The sequence below is a fragment of the Homo sapiens genome, chromosome 11, assembly GCF_000001405.40.
Source record: "Homo sapiens chromosome 11, GRCh38.p14 Primary Assembly".
Taxonomy (NCBI): domain Eukaryota; kingdom Metazoa; phylum Chordata; class Mammalia; order Primates; family Hominidae; genus Homo; species Homo sapiens.
This window is the reverse complement of record NC_000011.10, coordinates 3,100,632-3,116,071: the sequence shown is the minus strand read 5'-3', so window position 1 is coordinate 3,116,071 and position 15,440 is coordinate 3,100,632. Positions and strand designations below refer to the sequence as shown.

At 52.4% G+C, this 15,440-nt stretch overlaps 1 protein-coding gene across 5 annotated transcripts in view, besides 1 other annotated feature; it reads left to right on the top strand.

The window, feature by feature from the left end:
- The window catches only part of OSBPL5 (oxysterol binding protein like 5), a 78,204-nt gene that overhangs the window by 49,239 nt on the left and 13,525 nt on the right, over positions 1 to 15,440 (top strand). For all 5 annotated transcript variants that reach the window (NM_145638.3, NM_001144063.2, NM_020896.4 and 2 more), the window contains 6 exons: positions 8,127 to 8,301; positions 8,617 to 8,809; positions 11,695 to 11,879; positions 12,752 to 12,833; positions 13,791 to 13,889; positions 14,373 to 14,469. In NM_145638.3, the coding sequence (NP_663613.1) occupies positions 8,127 to 8,301; positions 8,617 to 8,809; positions 11,695 to 11,879; positions 12,752 to 12,833; positions 13,791 to 13,889; positions 14,373 to 14,469 (831 nt within the window). The remainder of the gene's footprint in view (positions 1 to 8,126; positions 8,302 to 8,616; positions 8,810 to 11,694; positions 11,880 to 12,751; positions 12,834 to 13,790; positions 13,890 to 14,372; positions 14,470 to 15,440) is intronic.
- Positions 5,838 to 5,897: a silencer, noted in NCBI's record as "silent region_3075". NCBI's record gives its function as "represses an Ori minimal core promoter by ATAC-STARR-seq in GM12878 lymphoblastoid cells {active_cell/tissue: GM12878}" and the evidence as "EXISTENCE:reporter gene assay evidence [ECO:0000049][PMID:35858748]".

Here is a 15,440-nt window from a genome sequence, read left to right as displayed (position 1 = left end):
TGGACTTTAGGGAACCTATTAATAATATCTTCAAGGATTAGGTTAGAAAAAGACATAATTTATAATTTGATTTTGGAAAGTTTGTCAAATTTTAAAGGTTTAAAACACTTGATATTACAAAGTAGGATTACAAGTCATTGTAAAATAATTCACTCATTTGAACAAAGTGATACCTCAAGGATTTAAAAAAAAAAAAAAGGCAAAAGCCTTCATTCTTTGAGACAGGAGACTTAGTTTTCCAAACAATAAGCCCTAATAACATCATGAAGCCAATTAAATTGTTTTCCAAAATTCCAATCTATAAAATTTTCATCTTGATCATAAGATATAACTTCCATAAGCCTTTATAACCTTTATTAAGGAGTCAGTTATTGTTTCAAGAAAACCTTGTTAATCTGACACAGGGGCCCATATGCTAGTCTTGCATCAGTGTGCCTTTGACATTAATGATTAATTTATAGAGGAACTGAACTTACTTTATCTCTCAAAGTCAGCCCTTACAATCTCACATGTCTATCTCTTCTGGGATAGTCTCTGGGCCTTGAGGAGTTGAACAGCTTTAATTTCTGTGTCTCAGGAATGTGGTTTATTTTGATTGGCATCTTCTACCGGGCCTGAAGATGAAGCTTTAATTGCTGTCAGTGTTTAAAATTTAGCAGGACTTGGTGTTCTTTTTAGACCCATGAGTCAAATCCCTGTAACTCAATGTCGCAAGGACTTTAAAAGCACATACAAGAAGATATAAGGACGGAATAACCTTGATTTAAAAAAAATTTTAATATCTGTTTTTCCTAAGCAAACCAAACTTAATAATAATGGCATAGGAATTATTTTGATAAAACATAAAATCTGTTAGGCCACTTACCAAAAGGCAAAAGCAAATACCTTCTGCAGTGTATAGAATATTATGTTAGAAGAAAACATTTTCTTTAAGAAAACATTGTTAGCATCAGGCCACACACACACAAAAAAACAGAACCTGAGGAGGAAAACAAAACTTATATGAGCTGAAAATGAGTTGAAGGGAAGTGTTACTATTTTGTTCCTTTTAAGAGGGAAGAGAAAACTGAAACTGGCAAGATGCAATGAAAGTTGAACTTTGGGTTAAAATTAAAAAATTAAAATATCTTATAATTGATTAAGAGTAAATCAACCTCTTAAGAAAATGTCGGCCAGGTGCGGTGGCTCATGCCTGTAATCCCAGCACTTTTGGGAGGCCGAGGCAGGAGGATCACGAAGTCAGGAGATCAAGACCATCCTGGCTAACATGGTGAAACCCCATCTCTACTAAAAATACAAAAAAAAATTAGCCAGGCGTGGTGGCGGGCGCCTGTAGTCCCAGCTACTCAGGAGGCTGGGGCAGGAGAATGGCGTGAACCCAGGAGGTGGAGCTTGCAGTGAGCCAAGATCACGCCACTGCACTCCAGCCTGGGCAACAGAGCGAGACTCTGTCTAAAAAAAAAAAAAAAAAAAAAAAAAATCATTGTTCTAACCAATTCTTTAGTCTATAACTGTTTTTTTACATCAAACCCAATCTCTAGAAAGACCATTATAATTTCCCTTTAGTCATAGACAACTTGATCATATAAAAGGGTTTTTTTTTAATAGATCCTCTTATTGTGACTTCCATAGACCATTCATGCCACGCTTGGACTTTCTGGTTTGTCCTGAACATCCCTCTTTCTTAAACAACCAGTCATTTTACTCTAGGACTAAATTTACCATACAAGATTCTTTCTCATATGAAATTATTTCTCTTTAAGCTTTCTTACTCTCCACCAAAAAACACTTTTTTATAACTTTCTTTACATCTCTTTTACTCTTTTATTTCCTGGTTCCTTTTACCTTGTTTTATACATGATCTTTAAATAAGCTTTGAATTAGGCAAAAATTGTTCACCTTTTTCAAAAGGACATGCTTTCTTTTAGAAAGCATATTTTCCTACAAATATATTTTTATTGGAAAATATCCAAATAGTGAAATATCTTATTTAATCTAACTTTAAATTCTAAATTATGATGAATTTGTCTACAAGTATTTGTCCTATTACATTTACCTAATTATTTTAATCATTTACCTAGATTATTTATAAAAACTGCAATTGTCATTATTTAAATTATGGAAACACCATTGCAAAATTATAACTGAGACAGTGAAAGAGATTTGACCTAACTGACTCCATCTTGTTTCTAACCTTCAAGCTATCCTTGTTCATTCCTGGGCATAGGTCAAACTAACTTTGGGAGGAACTTAGTTTATAGTTTACCTGAAACAAAGACTATAACAGTCTTTCTCAAAATGAACCTTACTGCCTGTGGACTAGACTACCTAAAGCCACCAGATTAGAAGTTATGGTAATCTTACTAAATTTAAGATGTAGCTATTTTTATTAAACCAATATAAATTTTTTTTTTTTTGAGACGGAGTCTTGCTCTAGTCTCCCAGGCTGGAGTGCAGTGGTGCGATCTTGGCTCACTGTTACCTCTGCCTCCCAGGTCAAGCAATTCTCCTGCCTCAGCCTCACGAGTAGCTGGGATTACAGGTGCCTGCCAACACACCTGGCTAATTTTTGTATTTTTAGTAGAGATGGGGTTTCACTATGTTGGCCAGACTGGTCTTGAACTCCTGACTTTGTGATCCACCCACCTCAGCCTCCCAAAGTGCTGAGATTACAGGCATTATTAAAGATTACACAAGCAAAGATCATTCTGTCTTGGGCTGGGTTTATAGTTTCGTAACTCCTATGCCAAATTTTGACACCTCATGGTATTTGGCAGGGATAAGTATGAAATTGCTTGATTAATAAATGCAAACAAAAATATATGCTGGCAATTCTTAAGACATTTCTAATATTACTTTACCAATAATTTTAAAGCTAGCTTATTTATTAAAGATTTTATTTAAGTTACATAAACTTGAAAAAGCATTTGACTTGTCTTTTCTTTTTTCCTGATCAAGTATTTGATTCAAGTGCATTTACTTTCTTAAGCCAATCAATTAGAGCCCTTTTATATATTTTCAGTAGTGAAACATTGTGTACACGACACATAAATACATAGACATATTAGGCATGGCAATAGAAGTACATCTCATAGGTTTATAAAAATTTTTTTTTCCTGTCTTAGACTTTCAGATTCTTGATAACCTGTTTCACAACCCTAGGCAATTGTCAGCTAAATAGCCTTAAATTTGCATATTAAGGGAAACAACTCAGGTGAAAATCAAATAGCAAAATTTGCATAAGGTACAGAGAGAAAAAGTCTGGTGGTGCTAGAGGGAGACTAAAGATGGATGCCAAATCAAACAAAATTATAGAAATCTATCATAGGATTGCATAAGGAGACCAATTTTATGTAGTAGGGACTACCTATCATTTAACTGGATCTCTGAGCTCTGGGAAGAGCCCACACTGAATCCTAGGTCTCCAGAAAGGGAGAATTATCATGAGGTTAGACCACGTGATGCTTTTATAGTGCACTTACAAATTTTTTTTAAACAAAGACATTTCTAAGTGTCTAAACCACACTCTTCCTTAAAAGCCCAAGAGTAACCACTGTTGCAATAACTACTTTAGTCAAAAAAAAAAAAAAAAAGAAAAGAAAACACAAAACAGGTTACACAATACAAAAGTAAGCAGTTTAAGAGCTGAGACAAACTTGTCTGTTTACATTCTTGGGGTTTCATAAGAAAAAACAAGTTTCTCCCCCAAGGGGAGTCTGGCACCCTCTCCATTTTCTTTAAGGAACCCCAGGCTACTATAAACTATTTTAGGTCCCCCATGCGGCAGAAGGTGCAAGAGAAAGGAGAGACAGCAGAAGTAAATCAAGAAACAGAATTCAGTCAACTGAGAAGAAAAAACCCTTTTGCTCAAAAAAAGACAAGGTCCTAGGAGAAAAACAAAAACAGAAACATGAAGGTCTCTTAAATACAAACACACACATATGCGCACACACACACATGCACACACACATATGCACACACACATGCACACACACATGCACACACACATACACATGCACACACATGCGCGCACACATACACACACATGCACACACATGCGCGCACACACACACACATGCACACACATGCGCGCACACATATGCACACACACACACACAGCTTGGATGTTAGCTTTTCATTAAACTGACTTTTAACCATTGAGCTTCTTTGAAAAAATCTTTTTAAATCTCATTCCATATTTCAACTAGGACAAATTTCAACGAGGACACAGAAGTACAGTCATTACTCTTTCAGTTTGGCCTAGCTAGTGAAAATGTGGCCTTGTTATATGAATAAAGCCCCTTAGTAGTCAAAATCAAAATCTTTCCTCTTTTTTTTTTCCTTTTGCTGGCCGTTTTTCTCCCCCCATCACGCCACCATTGTGTGTGGGGGTGGGGAGGGGAATTCAGCCACTTCAGAGGCCTTGTTCCCCATAATTTGGAACTTCCTTCAGATTTGATCAAGCCAGATAGAGGTCAATGGGAAAAAGACCAAAACAACAAAAACAGAAACAATCAACAACAAAAAAACAGTTAAGCGAAACAAACAATCGCACAACTTACGTGATCACTGAGTGCTCTAATGGTAAGGAGAAATTAAGACCAGCTGGTTGTTAATCTTAACTTTAGCTAAGACAAACCACAATTCAGTTACTTCCCTAGGGATGGGTCTCAGGCTGAAAACTCAGATCTCCACCATCCTGGGAGCAGGAAAAAAAAAAAATTCATCTTCCCTGTTGGAAGCAAGCTCGAACTCCATAAAGGAGTTACCTGCCTTCCATCGTCATGGAAGCAGGGAAAACTTGCCTTCCTTGTATCGGAAGCAAGTAAAACTCCAAAAAGAGAAGTTGTAAAACAAAATAAACTTTAGATCTCGACCAAATTTTGAGAGATCAGGGATTCTCTGTGGCAGGGGGTGGGGGTGGGGCACGGGGGGAGGTGCTTCCAGGCCTCAGCAAATTGTCTTATTGGTTTGAGCCATAAAGTTAGCTCAAGCTGGTACCAAGCACCAATAGGAGACTTGTGAAAAGTCAGGGGCATCTCCACTCAGAATCCTTCAGTGGTTACCAAAATGTTTGAACCCTGAAAATCTGAGACAGGTCTCAGTTAATTTAGAAAGTTTATTTTGCCAAGGTTGAAGACGCCTACCTGTGACACAGCCTCAGGAGGTCCTGACGATGTGCCCAGGGTGGTCAGAGCACAGTTTGGTTTTAGGGAGACATGAGACATTAACCAACATATGTAAGATGAACATTGGTTTGGTCTGGAAAGGCGGGACAACTTCAAGCGGGGAGGGGCTTCCAGGTCATAGGTAGATAAGAGAAAGATGGTTGCATTTTTTTGAGTTTCTGATGAGCTTCTCCAAAGGAGACAATGAGATATGCATTTATCTCAGTGAGCAGAGGGGTGACTTGGAATAGAATGGGAGGCAGGTTGGCCCTAAGCAGTTCCCAGCTTGGGTTTTTCCCTTTAGCTTAGTGATTTGAGGGGCCCAAGATTTTCCTTTCACACCAGGCACCATTGAAACAACAGGTTCTACTGTTATCATCCACATTAGACAGGTCAGGAAACTGAGGCACAGGCAAACTGCCAGCAAGAAAGTGCTAGAACGAGAATTTCCCTGACTCCCAAATGCATTGCACGCTGTTGCTGTTCCCTGAGTGGCCGCTCAGGCAGCTGTGACTGCGATGATCCTCCACCTGGAGGGATTCCCTCTTGGCCGTTCCTCCCTCTAACCTGAGGTTGGGGCCCTACCCCACCTCGCCCTCCAGTGGCTGCTCTGGGTAAATGCGGTTGCTCCACCTCCTCTAACCCCAGGGTGATGCCTCCCAGAGCAGTGGGGTGAAGGGCTCCCATCCCGCCGGTGGTGCAGACCTAAAGCAGTCTGGCCTTGACCACGGGGCTCCGGTGCCTCTCAGGTTGGAGTCTCGGTGCCACATCACCCCTGGTGGTCAGATGCCACATCCATGCTCCTTCCTGGGCCATCCTGAGTGCCCCACTATGTGCCAGGTCCCATGCAGGCCCGGGGATGGCCAGGGCAGCCCACAGCCTCTGTGCTCCTGGGTGAGGTGGATAACCAACCATCAGATAAGGCAGGTTGGGCTGAGGTGTGAGCTGAGCCCCTGATAGGGTGTGGGCCACCATTCGGGAGGAGAGGTGTCTGCAGCCCCTGTGGGTATCAGGGTGGGCTTCCAGGAAGAGGAGGAAGAGGTCTCGGAATGAGCTTCAAAGGATGCATAATATTCAGGATGTCTAGTCCTTTGTGGCAGCTACAAAGCACACGTGTTCAGGCCCTGGGGCCAACTCGGCAGTTGTGACCCCTCCAGCTCCCCACCACCATCCACTGCCATCCCTCCCCCAACCCTGGTGTTCCGCCCAGGCTTGGCCGCTCTGGCACCAACCAAGCCTGCAGTGGAACCAGCAGGATCCCAGATATCCCCCCAACCCAATGAGAAGGGCAGCTCTAGAGACCCAGGAGCCACTGTCTAGGCAGGCCCCTCCCTACACTGGACCCTGAGATGCCCCACGAAGAGCAGGATTTAATGGATCTCAAAGTGAGGGAGAAAAACTCACTGTCTCCAGGAGCTCGAAAAGGCAGAGGCTCAGAGAGGCACAGAACCGCCTTCAATGCTCTTCAGCCCCATCCTCCCACCTGACGTGACCCCAGGAGGCTTTCTTTGAATAACACTTACTAACAGCCCAGGCACAGTGGCTCACACCTGTAATCCCAGCACTTTGGGAGGCCGACGCAGATCACTTGAGGCCCAGAGGTTGAGACCAGCCTGGCCAACATGGTGAAACCCCATCTCTACTAAAAATACAAAAAAATTACAGGCAGGCACCTGTAATCCCAGCTACTTGGGAGGTTGAGGCAGGAGAATCACTTGAACCCTGGAGTCAGAGGTTGCAGCGAGCTGAGATCACCCTACTGCACTCCAGCCTGGGTGACAGAGCGAGACTCCATCTCAAAACAACAAAAAAACAAAAACAAAAAACACACTTATTGACCCGGTGTGGTGGCTCACACCTGTAATCCCAGCACTTTGGGAGGCCAAGGCAGGCAGATCACCTGAGGTCGGGAGTTCGAGACCAGCCTGACCAACATGAGGAAACCCTGTCTCTACTAAAAATACAAAATTAGCCGGGTGTGGTGGTGCATGCCTGTAATCCCAGCTACTCAGGAGGGTGAGGCAGGAGAATCGCTTGAACCCGGGAGGCAGAGGTTGCGGTGAGCTGAGATCGTGCCATTGTGCTCCCACCTGGGCAACAAGAGCAAAACCCCATCTCAAAACAAACAAACAAAAACCTTATTAATAGTGTGACCTGTCACAGGCCACCACGAGATGCTCCTCTGAGTGCGGGGGCCGCTGTTATCACACCAGGACATCAGTGTCACCCAGGTGGACACGTGCCCCACAGGAGGACCCTTGGGTGGTGCTGTCACCCTGCTTAGGAAGGCAGCAGGGCACAGGGCCCAGAGTGGGGCTTGGAGGCGCCCAGCTGTCGACCAGCCCCTGCTCCACCGCTGCCCACAGAGCCTCTGGGCGGCCTCAGGCAGGTCTCCTCCCTGGTGTGCAAGCCCCTCCTCAGCCTTCCCCACCCTCCTCCCTGGACTCCAGGCTGGCAGGAGCCCCTGGCACCCTGACCAGTGCTTCCCAGTGAGGGAGGACCCTCCTCCCTAACTCCACCTGCAGAAACCTGTGGGTGGCCATCAGGGTGGGAGGCTGGTTCCGAGTGTTCTGGGTTTGTGACCTGGAGGGGTCACTTATGCCAGCCCCTCGTCAGCAATGTGGGTGGTGGAGGTGCGTGGGGATGTGCTGTGAGCATCCCCAGGTGCCTCTGCAGGGCTGCCTCCCCTGGCACACCTGTCCCCAGGCCGGGTCTGCCTCCTTGGGAAGTCCTCAATCCTCAGGGGTTCCCGATGTCTGCCCCCACACAATCTGCAGCTGGATGTGGGGGCAGGAAGGGAGGGCATGTCCCTGCTGGGGCAGGGCCAGGGGTGGGTCTGGGATGGAGGGGGTGGGTCCCTGAAGAGTCAGAGTGAGGGGGAGCCTCCTGGTGGCCCCTTGGGGGATGCGGGATATACAGAGGTGGGGGTGGGGCATGCTCATCCCGTGTGCCCCGCAGGTCGCTGCTGGCTGGACGCCCTGGAGCTGGCCCTGCGCTGCTCTAGCCTACTGAGACTGGGCACCTGCAAGCCGGGCCGAGACGGGGAGCCAGGGACCTCGCCAGACGCATCACCCTCATCGCTCTGTGGGCTGCCAGCCTCAGCCACCGTCCACCCAGACCAAGACCTGTTCCCGTGAGTGGGGCGAGGGCACAGGGGCTGGTGGTGATTCACGGGGTCTCCTTGTAGGCGAGGAAGAGGGGAGAGGACAGCCCCAGCCACTGCTCTGGTGGGCTGCAGGCTGCACGCAGGGACTTGTTCGCTGCAGTGTGCCCTGGGAGCCTCGGTTCCTTCCTCTAAAACGGGGCTGATCGTGTCAAATGTGGGTTGTGGAGGTGACGACAGGCAGGAACGTATGTGAAGTGCGGAGCAGCGAGGGGTGGGCAGCCCAGAGGGCTGTGCTGGGCTCTCACCTGTGACAGGGACCCACTGGCACCATCCACCTTCCAGACTGAACGGGTCTTCCCTGGAGAACGATGCATTCTCAGACAAGTCGGAGAGAGAGAACCCTGAGGAGTCAGATACCGAGACCCAGGACCATAGCCGGAAGACGGAGAGTGGCAGCGACCAGTCAGAGACCCCTGGGGCCCCGGTGCGGAGAGGGACCACCTATGTGGAGCAGGTCCAGGAGGAGCTGGGGGAGGTGAGAGCCCCCCAGCCAGGAGCCCCAAGCGTCTCCCCTGCCTCGGCCCCTTGTTCCGGAAGCAGAGGTAGCCATGCCTCATCCTAGGGGGAGCACGCAGGGCCCAGGGGGTAGCTTTTGTCCCCATCACTTGGCAGTGAGTCCAGGAGCTGTCTTTTAGGTAAACAGGCTCCTCCCGTCTTCCAAAGAGGCTGCCCCGCTGGCTGGCTGGCTGGCTGGCATGCAGATGCGGGGATCGGGCAGGGGTTTGCTGCAGACAGGCAACTCCCTCCTTGGGCTGGAATGCGCTGATGGGAGAACAGGAGGCTCAAGAGGGGCCCTTGACCCCATCTGCTGGGCGGCCCCACTTCCTGGAGGAGCGCAGAGGAGGGCGTGTGGACCTGAGTCCCATGCTCACAGGCACCTGCACACCTGGTGCTCTCCTGGGGCCCTGGGAGAGCCATGAATGAGACAGACCTGGGCTCTGGGCCCCCAGTGTATGGGCAGCAGGAAACATAGATGATAAACCCACAAACACAAGAGGAGGCTGGGGAGCAGGTGAGGGAGGCAAACCGGGCCATGGGCTCTTTCTGAAGACGTGAGTGACGGGAGGGAGGATGGCGTTCCAAGAAGAAGGACCACCAGCGCACGAGCTCAAGGGAGGCAGCAGGCGGTGGGCAGCAGTGTCCCCAGAGCATGCCTGCAGATGAACAGCCAGGGCAGCTGACTCCCCGCAGCTGGAGAGAACTCACGTGGCCCTGGGCACCGTGGGGCGCCTCAGGAAGGGGAGTCCGGAAGGAATCACAGGATCTAAGCTTCCGCTGGGTGACGGGTGCAGGCTGAGGAAGCCGGGCTCTGGGGTGGGGGCTGCGCTCTGGGGTGGGGGCTGTCAGGAACGGGGGGCTCTGTGATCTGGGATCTTGTCATTCTCACCCGGGAGGCGAGACAAGAGCAAGGCCGTGGCTGTCACTGAGGGCAAGGGGCAGTCCCGGTTTCAGCAGGAAAGGGGAATTCGTTCCTTGCTGTTGTTTGGACAGCGTCGTGTTCGCATCTTGCTCTGCACAGGGACAGAGGGGGCTCCTCCGTGGTCCGTGAAATCCTTGTGTTCAGTGGAACACCATGGCCTCCCTGCGGGCTGCTGTTCCCACAGAGCTCAGGCTCCTGTGCGGGGATGGGAAGGTTAGGATGGGCCTATGGGGAGTGGACCGAGGGCCCTGGGGGCCTCAGGCTGAGAGTATTGGGGAAGCCACCGGCGGGTTAGGCAAGGGCCTCGGGACAGCCGAGGGGCGGGGGTGGACACTGGGCCACCCGTAGGGAAGACCCATTGTTAGGAGAAAGCTGAGGACACCCTGGACCCAGCTGTGATGGAGAAGGGAGAAGTGGGCAGACTCAGGGTATTTCGGAAGTTGGATTGGGTAGATCTCAGCCAGATGGTGATGAGCGACGCTGCTGTGAGCCAGGCAGAGCGGGCTGCTGCAGGTGCGAGCCTGGGGCTCCGGGCAGAGGGCATGGAGCGGGCAGCCAAGGGGCCCGGGCACCCAACCTTCAGAGGCCGAGCACAGATAAGGCTTCACAGAGGTGGGGCAGGGAGGTGGGAGGATCCAGGAGCCCAGGTGTCTCAGAGCCAGCTGGTCCGAGAGGTGGGGCAGGATGAGAAGCAGGGATGGCTGCTGGACCAGTGAGGAGTGGTGGGGACCTACGGCAAGACAGTCTCAGTAGAGAAGACGGCAGAAGCCTGGTGGAGAGGGTTAAGGAGGACGGGACGGGAGCACATGGACAGAGCAGGATTCCTGACAGCCGAAGCTACCCATGATTTCCAAGCCCCAAAGCTACAGCACTGGGCTCCCCATGACCCCTCATGGGGTCAGACATGGCTCCTGGGTGTCCACACACACTGTCCACTGGGCCAGTGCCACCAGGATCTGTCCGTGGCCATGCGTGCACAGAGAGGCGAAGCCATTTGCCTGAGGAGTCCCAGCAGCGGGGATGAGATCCTGATGCAGGACTCACAGGCCACACTCCATCTTGCCCGCTCCCTGGGGCAGCTGCCGTTGGGCTAAAAATGCAGAGAGCCCTGAGTTCAGATCTGACCTCTGCCGCATAGCAGCCGTGTGACCTTGGACAAGTCACTTGTCCCCTCTGTGGAGGGGGAGGACCAGGGTCCCCGTTCCCTGGGGCTGCGGTGAGGTGCAAGTCTGGAGTGAGTAAGGGGAGCCCCGCCACCCCAAGTCATGTATTCTGGAGCTGTGGTGAGGGTTAGATGTCTCAGAAAAGGAAGAGATGAGGGGGCCTTCGTGAGGGGCACACAGGCTTCGGAAGTGAGGGGTGAGTTCACATGCCCGTGTCGGTTTTGCAGGAGCAGGCTCACCTCCAAACTCACCCAGTTGTCCACATTCAATATCTGAAGGCTTCTGTATATCAATCAGACCTCAATAAAGTGGTTCAAAAACAGAAAAAGAAATGTTACAATAACCTTTTTTAAAAAATGGAAGAGCAGGCCAAATCCCTGCCTCCCCTGGCAGCTGTGAAGACAGGGTGGGCTGCAGTCTCTCTGTTCCCTGGGCCCAGGGTCCCACGATGCACAGACAGGTTTCAACAGCAGGTGTTGGGAGGCTGCACCCTGGACTTTGAGGAGGGCAGGGCATGGGGTCCCTGGGCAAGGAGCAGAGACAGGAGCGGGCCTGGACCTGGGCTGCGGGTGCTCCAGGGGTGGGGTGGAGACGCATTGGGAAGAGTTCACATCTGATGGGGCTGAGTCAGCCTCATGAGGCCATGGAGGCCAGGTCAGGGGTTTACACCCTAAGGGGTGGCAGGTACAGCCTCCTCCAGCCAGAGCTGCCACTGTCCCGCCACCCCTTCCTCCCGGCTCTTCCGGGCAGGGCCTGACTGCAGCCTGTCTGCTGCAGCTGGGCGAGGCGTCCCAGGTGGAGACAGTGTCAGAGGAGAACAAGAGTCTGATGTGGACCCTGCTGAAGCAGCTACGGCCAGGCATGGACCTGTCCCGCGTGGTGCTACCCACGTTCGTACTGGAGCCGCGCTCCTTCCTGAACAAGCTCTCCGACTACTACTACCACGCAGACCTGCTCTCCAGGTGCGCGCCATGCCGGGAGGGGCACCCCACACCTCGTCCTGCATCTGCATGAGACCCTGCAGCACCCCCAGCCCCTACCTGCCCTGTGGGGGCTTCCAGAGAATCCCATGGCTGATCTCAGCCCACTGTTTCTGCAGCTGTAGCCTCCCAGGGGGCCCTGTCTCCAAGATGGGCCTGGGAGGAGCCAGCCATCCGTGGTGAGAGGGGGGTCAGTCCCAAGCACTTGCCATGCACCCTGAGCCCTGCACCCTCGAGCTGGATGGGATGGGCTGCAGAGGCAGGAAGGGGGCTGCAGAGGCAGGAATGGGGCTACAGAGGCAGGAAGGGGGCTGCGCAGACTGGAAAGGGGCTGCAGAGGCTGGAAGGGGGCTGCGCAGGCAGGAAGAGGGCTGCAGAGGCAGGAAGGGACTGCAGAGGCTGGAAGGGGGCTGCAGAGCTGGAAGAGGGTTGCAGAGGCAGGAAGGGGCAGCAGAGCCTGGAAGGGGGTACGCAGGCTGGAAGGGGGCTGCAGAGACTGGAAGGGGGCAACAGAGGCAGGAAGGGGGCTGCAGGCTCAGGAGCCAGGCAGAGGGAGCAGGTGGGAACAAGAGCATGGGCAGGGAGGCTTCCTGGAGACAGGGGCACCCTGGCAGCCCAGGTCAGCAGTGTCCTCTCTGCCCCAGCGTGGGAGCAGCCCTGGCACTTTCTGATTAGAAGAACCCACTTCCCCAGAGAAAATTATCCTGCTTGGGGGTGACCAGAGCGCCTGGGCCAAGTGGCCTGTTTCCAGCTGAGTGGTTGGAGGTCGGGATGGTAGGAGGGAAGGGTCAGGGAAAGGGAGGGTGGCCCACGGCCCCCGGAGCTGGGGTCAGCGTTCTCCTGCCCCATGGCAGGGCTGCGGTGGAGGAGGATGCCTACAGCCGCATGAAGCTGGTGCTGCGGTGGTACCTGTCTGGCTTCTACAAGAAGCCCAAGGTGAGCCCCTGCCAGCCAGGGAGGGTGGGGCTCCGGCCCAGGAGTCTGTCTGCTCAGCCCTCGTCCCTTGGCACTTCCCTGAGTCCCCGGGCCACCCCCTACCCCACATGGCTTAGAAGGATCCTGGTCACCCCCACAGAGGGCCCAGGTCCTTGGTGATGGGGGACAGGGCCCCACTTCCCACAGTTGGGGCCCTGGATGGCTCAGGCCGGGTCCCCAAGGGTGGTCTCATCCCTCAAGGCCCCAAGCTGGACCCCTTCCCCACCCCCCAAGAAAACAGCCTCAGGCCGTATTACAGATGGTGCCAAAAGAAAGGAGCTTTAAACCTTAAACCTCAAGGTACCTTTGGGATCTGTGGTTTTCATAAATTTTTAGCCATGGAAACCCCTTTTAGAACCCCAAACCCAGGACTCCAGTGACAGCAGGGCTGCTCTCGTTGTAGTGAGCAAGAGGGCCCGCAGCTCCCCTGACCCCACCACAGAGCCCTGGGGTTCCATGGGAAGCAAGTTTGAAAACCACGACCGTGGTTCCACTTCTTTATTGTGCAGATGGGGAAACTGAGGCTCAGGTGAAAGGATGGCCTGAGTCGTACAGCAGGTTTGGGGTAGAGGCAGGACTTCTGACTGCCTGGTGCCTTCCATGGCTTTCAGCAGGCTGTGTGCAGGTTACACCCAAGGTCCAAGGAGAGTGTGACAAGGTCAGGGTCTCGTGTCCCTTCTCCGAGCTAAGAAGTGGACAGGATTCCCCTGAGGCTGTCCCCCAAGAATGTAAACCACAGGCAAAGCATAGTCCCCGCAAAGCAGAAGTGAGGTGTTGTTCCCAGATGCTAGCAGCAAACCAGGCCAGCAGGCAGCGGGTAGCCCACCCACGCTGCCCCTCCGTCCACATCCCTCACCTGCTCTGCACAGCGGACCTCTTACCCACCTGGCTCCTCACACAAGTCTCTGTTGTCTGCAGGGAATCAAGAAGCCGTACAACCCCATCCTGGGGGAGACCTTCCGCTGCTGCTGGTTCCACCCGCAGACTGACAGCCGCACATTCTACATAGCAGAGCAGGCAAGAGCACCTCTGCTGCAACCGGCCTGGGTGCTGGGCTCTATGGGGCGGGGCTCTGTGGGGGCGGGGCCCTGGCAGCAGGCAGGGGCAAGCGTGACCCCGAGGGCCGGCTTCCAGGGGACCCCACATCCTGCACACCGGAAGGGCTGTGGACCCAGCCGCTGCCAACAGGGATTCTTGCAGAAGGTGCAGACACCACCATGACTGTGACAGCAGACAGTGTCTCCCTAGGGAGAGGACAGTGTGTCCCATCTCCCGATGGGGACTTCTGGGGCAACTCAGGGCCCGCAAGCCCCACAGCTGAGGCCTACCTGCCCTGGGCGTCGTAAGCGAGAGCCAGGAAGGCCCCTACCCGAATCCTGGGATCGGGGGAGAAGATGTGGCGTCAGGGACAGGGACAGGTTTTTTGGGGGAAGCTGGGCTCTCGCTTCCTGGGATTACCTGTTTCCGGGGCTGTTTACAGAGCCGCCTCCCTGCACGCAGGTGTCCCACCACCCGCCCGTGTCTGCCTTCCACGTCAGCAACCGGAAGGACGGCTTCTGCATCAGTGGCAGCATCACAGCCAAGTCCAGGTTTTATGGTGAGGGGGTCACCCTGGGCGCTCCCTGGGGCCTCAGGGAAATGCGATGGTCGGGAGGACTCCGGGAGCCAGTGGACCAAGATCTGGATGGGGGCCATGTGCCTGTCCCTCCCAACCCCTCCTAGTCAGAGACCATGTGGTGGTCAGGTGCTGAGACCCGGCCATGAGGCAGAGCTGCCCGCAGCTCCCCGAGCTGAGAGTGGGCACCTTTTGTAGGGACGCTGTGGGGACTGAGAGAGGGCACCTACATGGAAAGGTGCGGACTGGGGCTGAGCAGCCCCAGAGCACTGCATGACTATTTGAATTGGCTAAAATGAAATGAAACTTAGTCAAAGCATGGTGGCTCACGCCTGTAATCCCAGCACTTTGGGAGGCCGAGGTGGGTGGATCACTTGAGATCAGGAGTTTGAGACCAGACTGTCCAACATGGTGAAACCCTGTCTCTACTAAAAATACAAAAGTTAGCCGGGCATGGTGGCACGTGCCTGTCATCCCAGCTACTGGGAAGGCTGAGGCAGGAGAATCGCTTGAACCCGGGAGGTGGAGGTTGCAGTGAGCCAAGATGGTGCCACTGTACTCCAGCCTGGACGACAGGGTGAGACTCTGTCTCAAAAAAAAAAAAAAAAAAAAAGAAATGAAACTGAAACTGCAGTCCCTCTATTGCCAAATCACACAGGCTCAGTGTTGGCCCCGGAGTGGGACAGGCAGGAGGGAAGCTCTGGTCTTCAGAGACAGCCCCATTGGACTGCACTGCTCTGGGGCCTGGCAGACTTGGGTGCTCAGAAAAGTGTCCGTTTACATTTCGTCCCATCCGTTGTACCTTTTTCATCAGTTTCATCCATGGGCAGGTGTGCGCCTGTTGCCTCTGTGTGCTCGGCTCTCTGCTGGGTGTGTGGAAGTCTGGGAGGGGGTCCCAGGTGCGACCCTCAGGTTCAGCCCACCTTTCCCAACTCTGTCCTCTCCTCACCAGC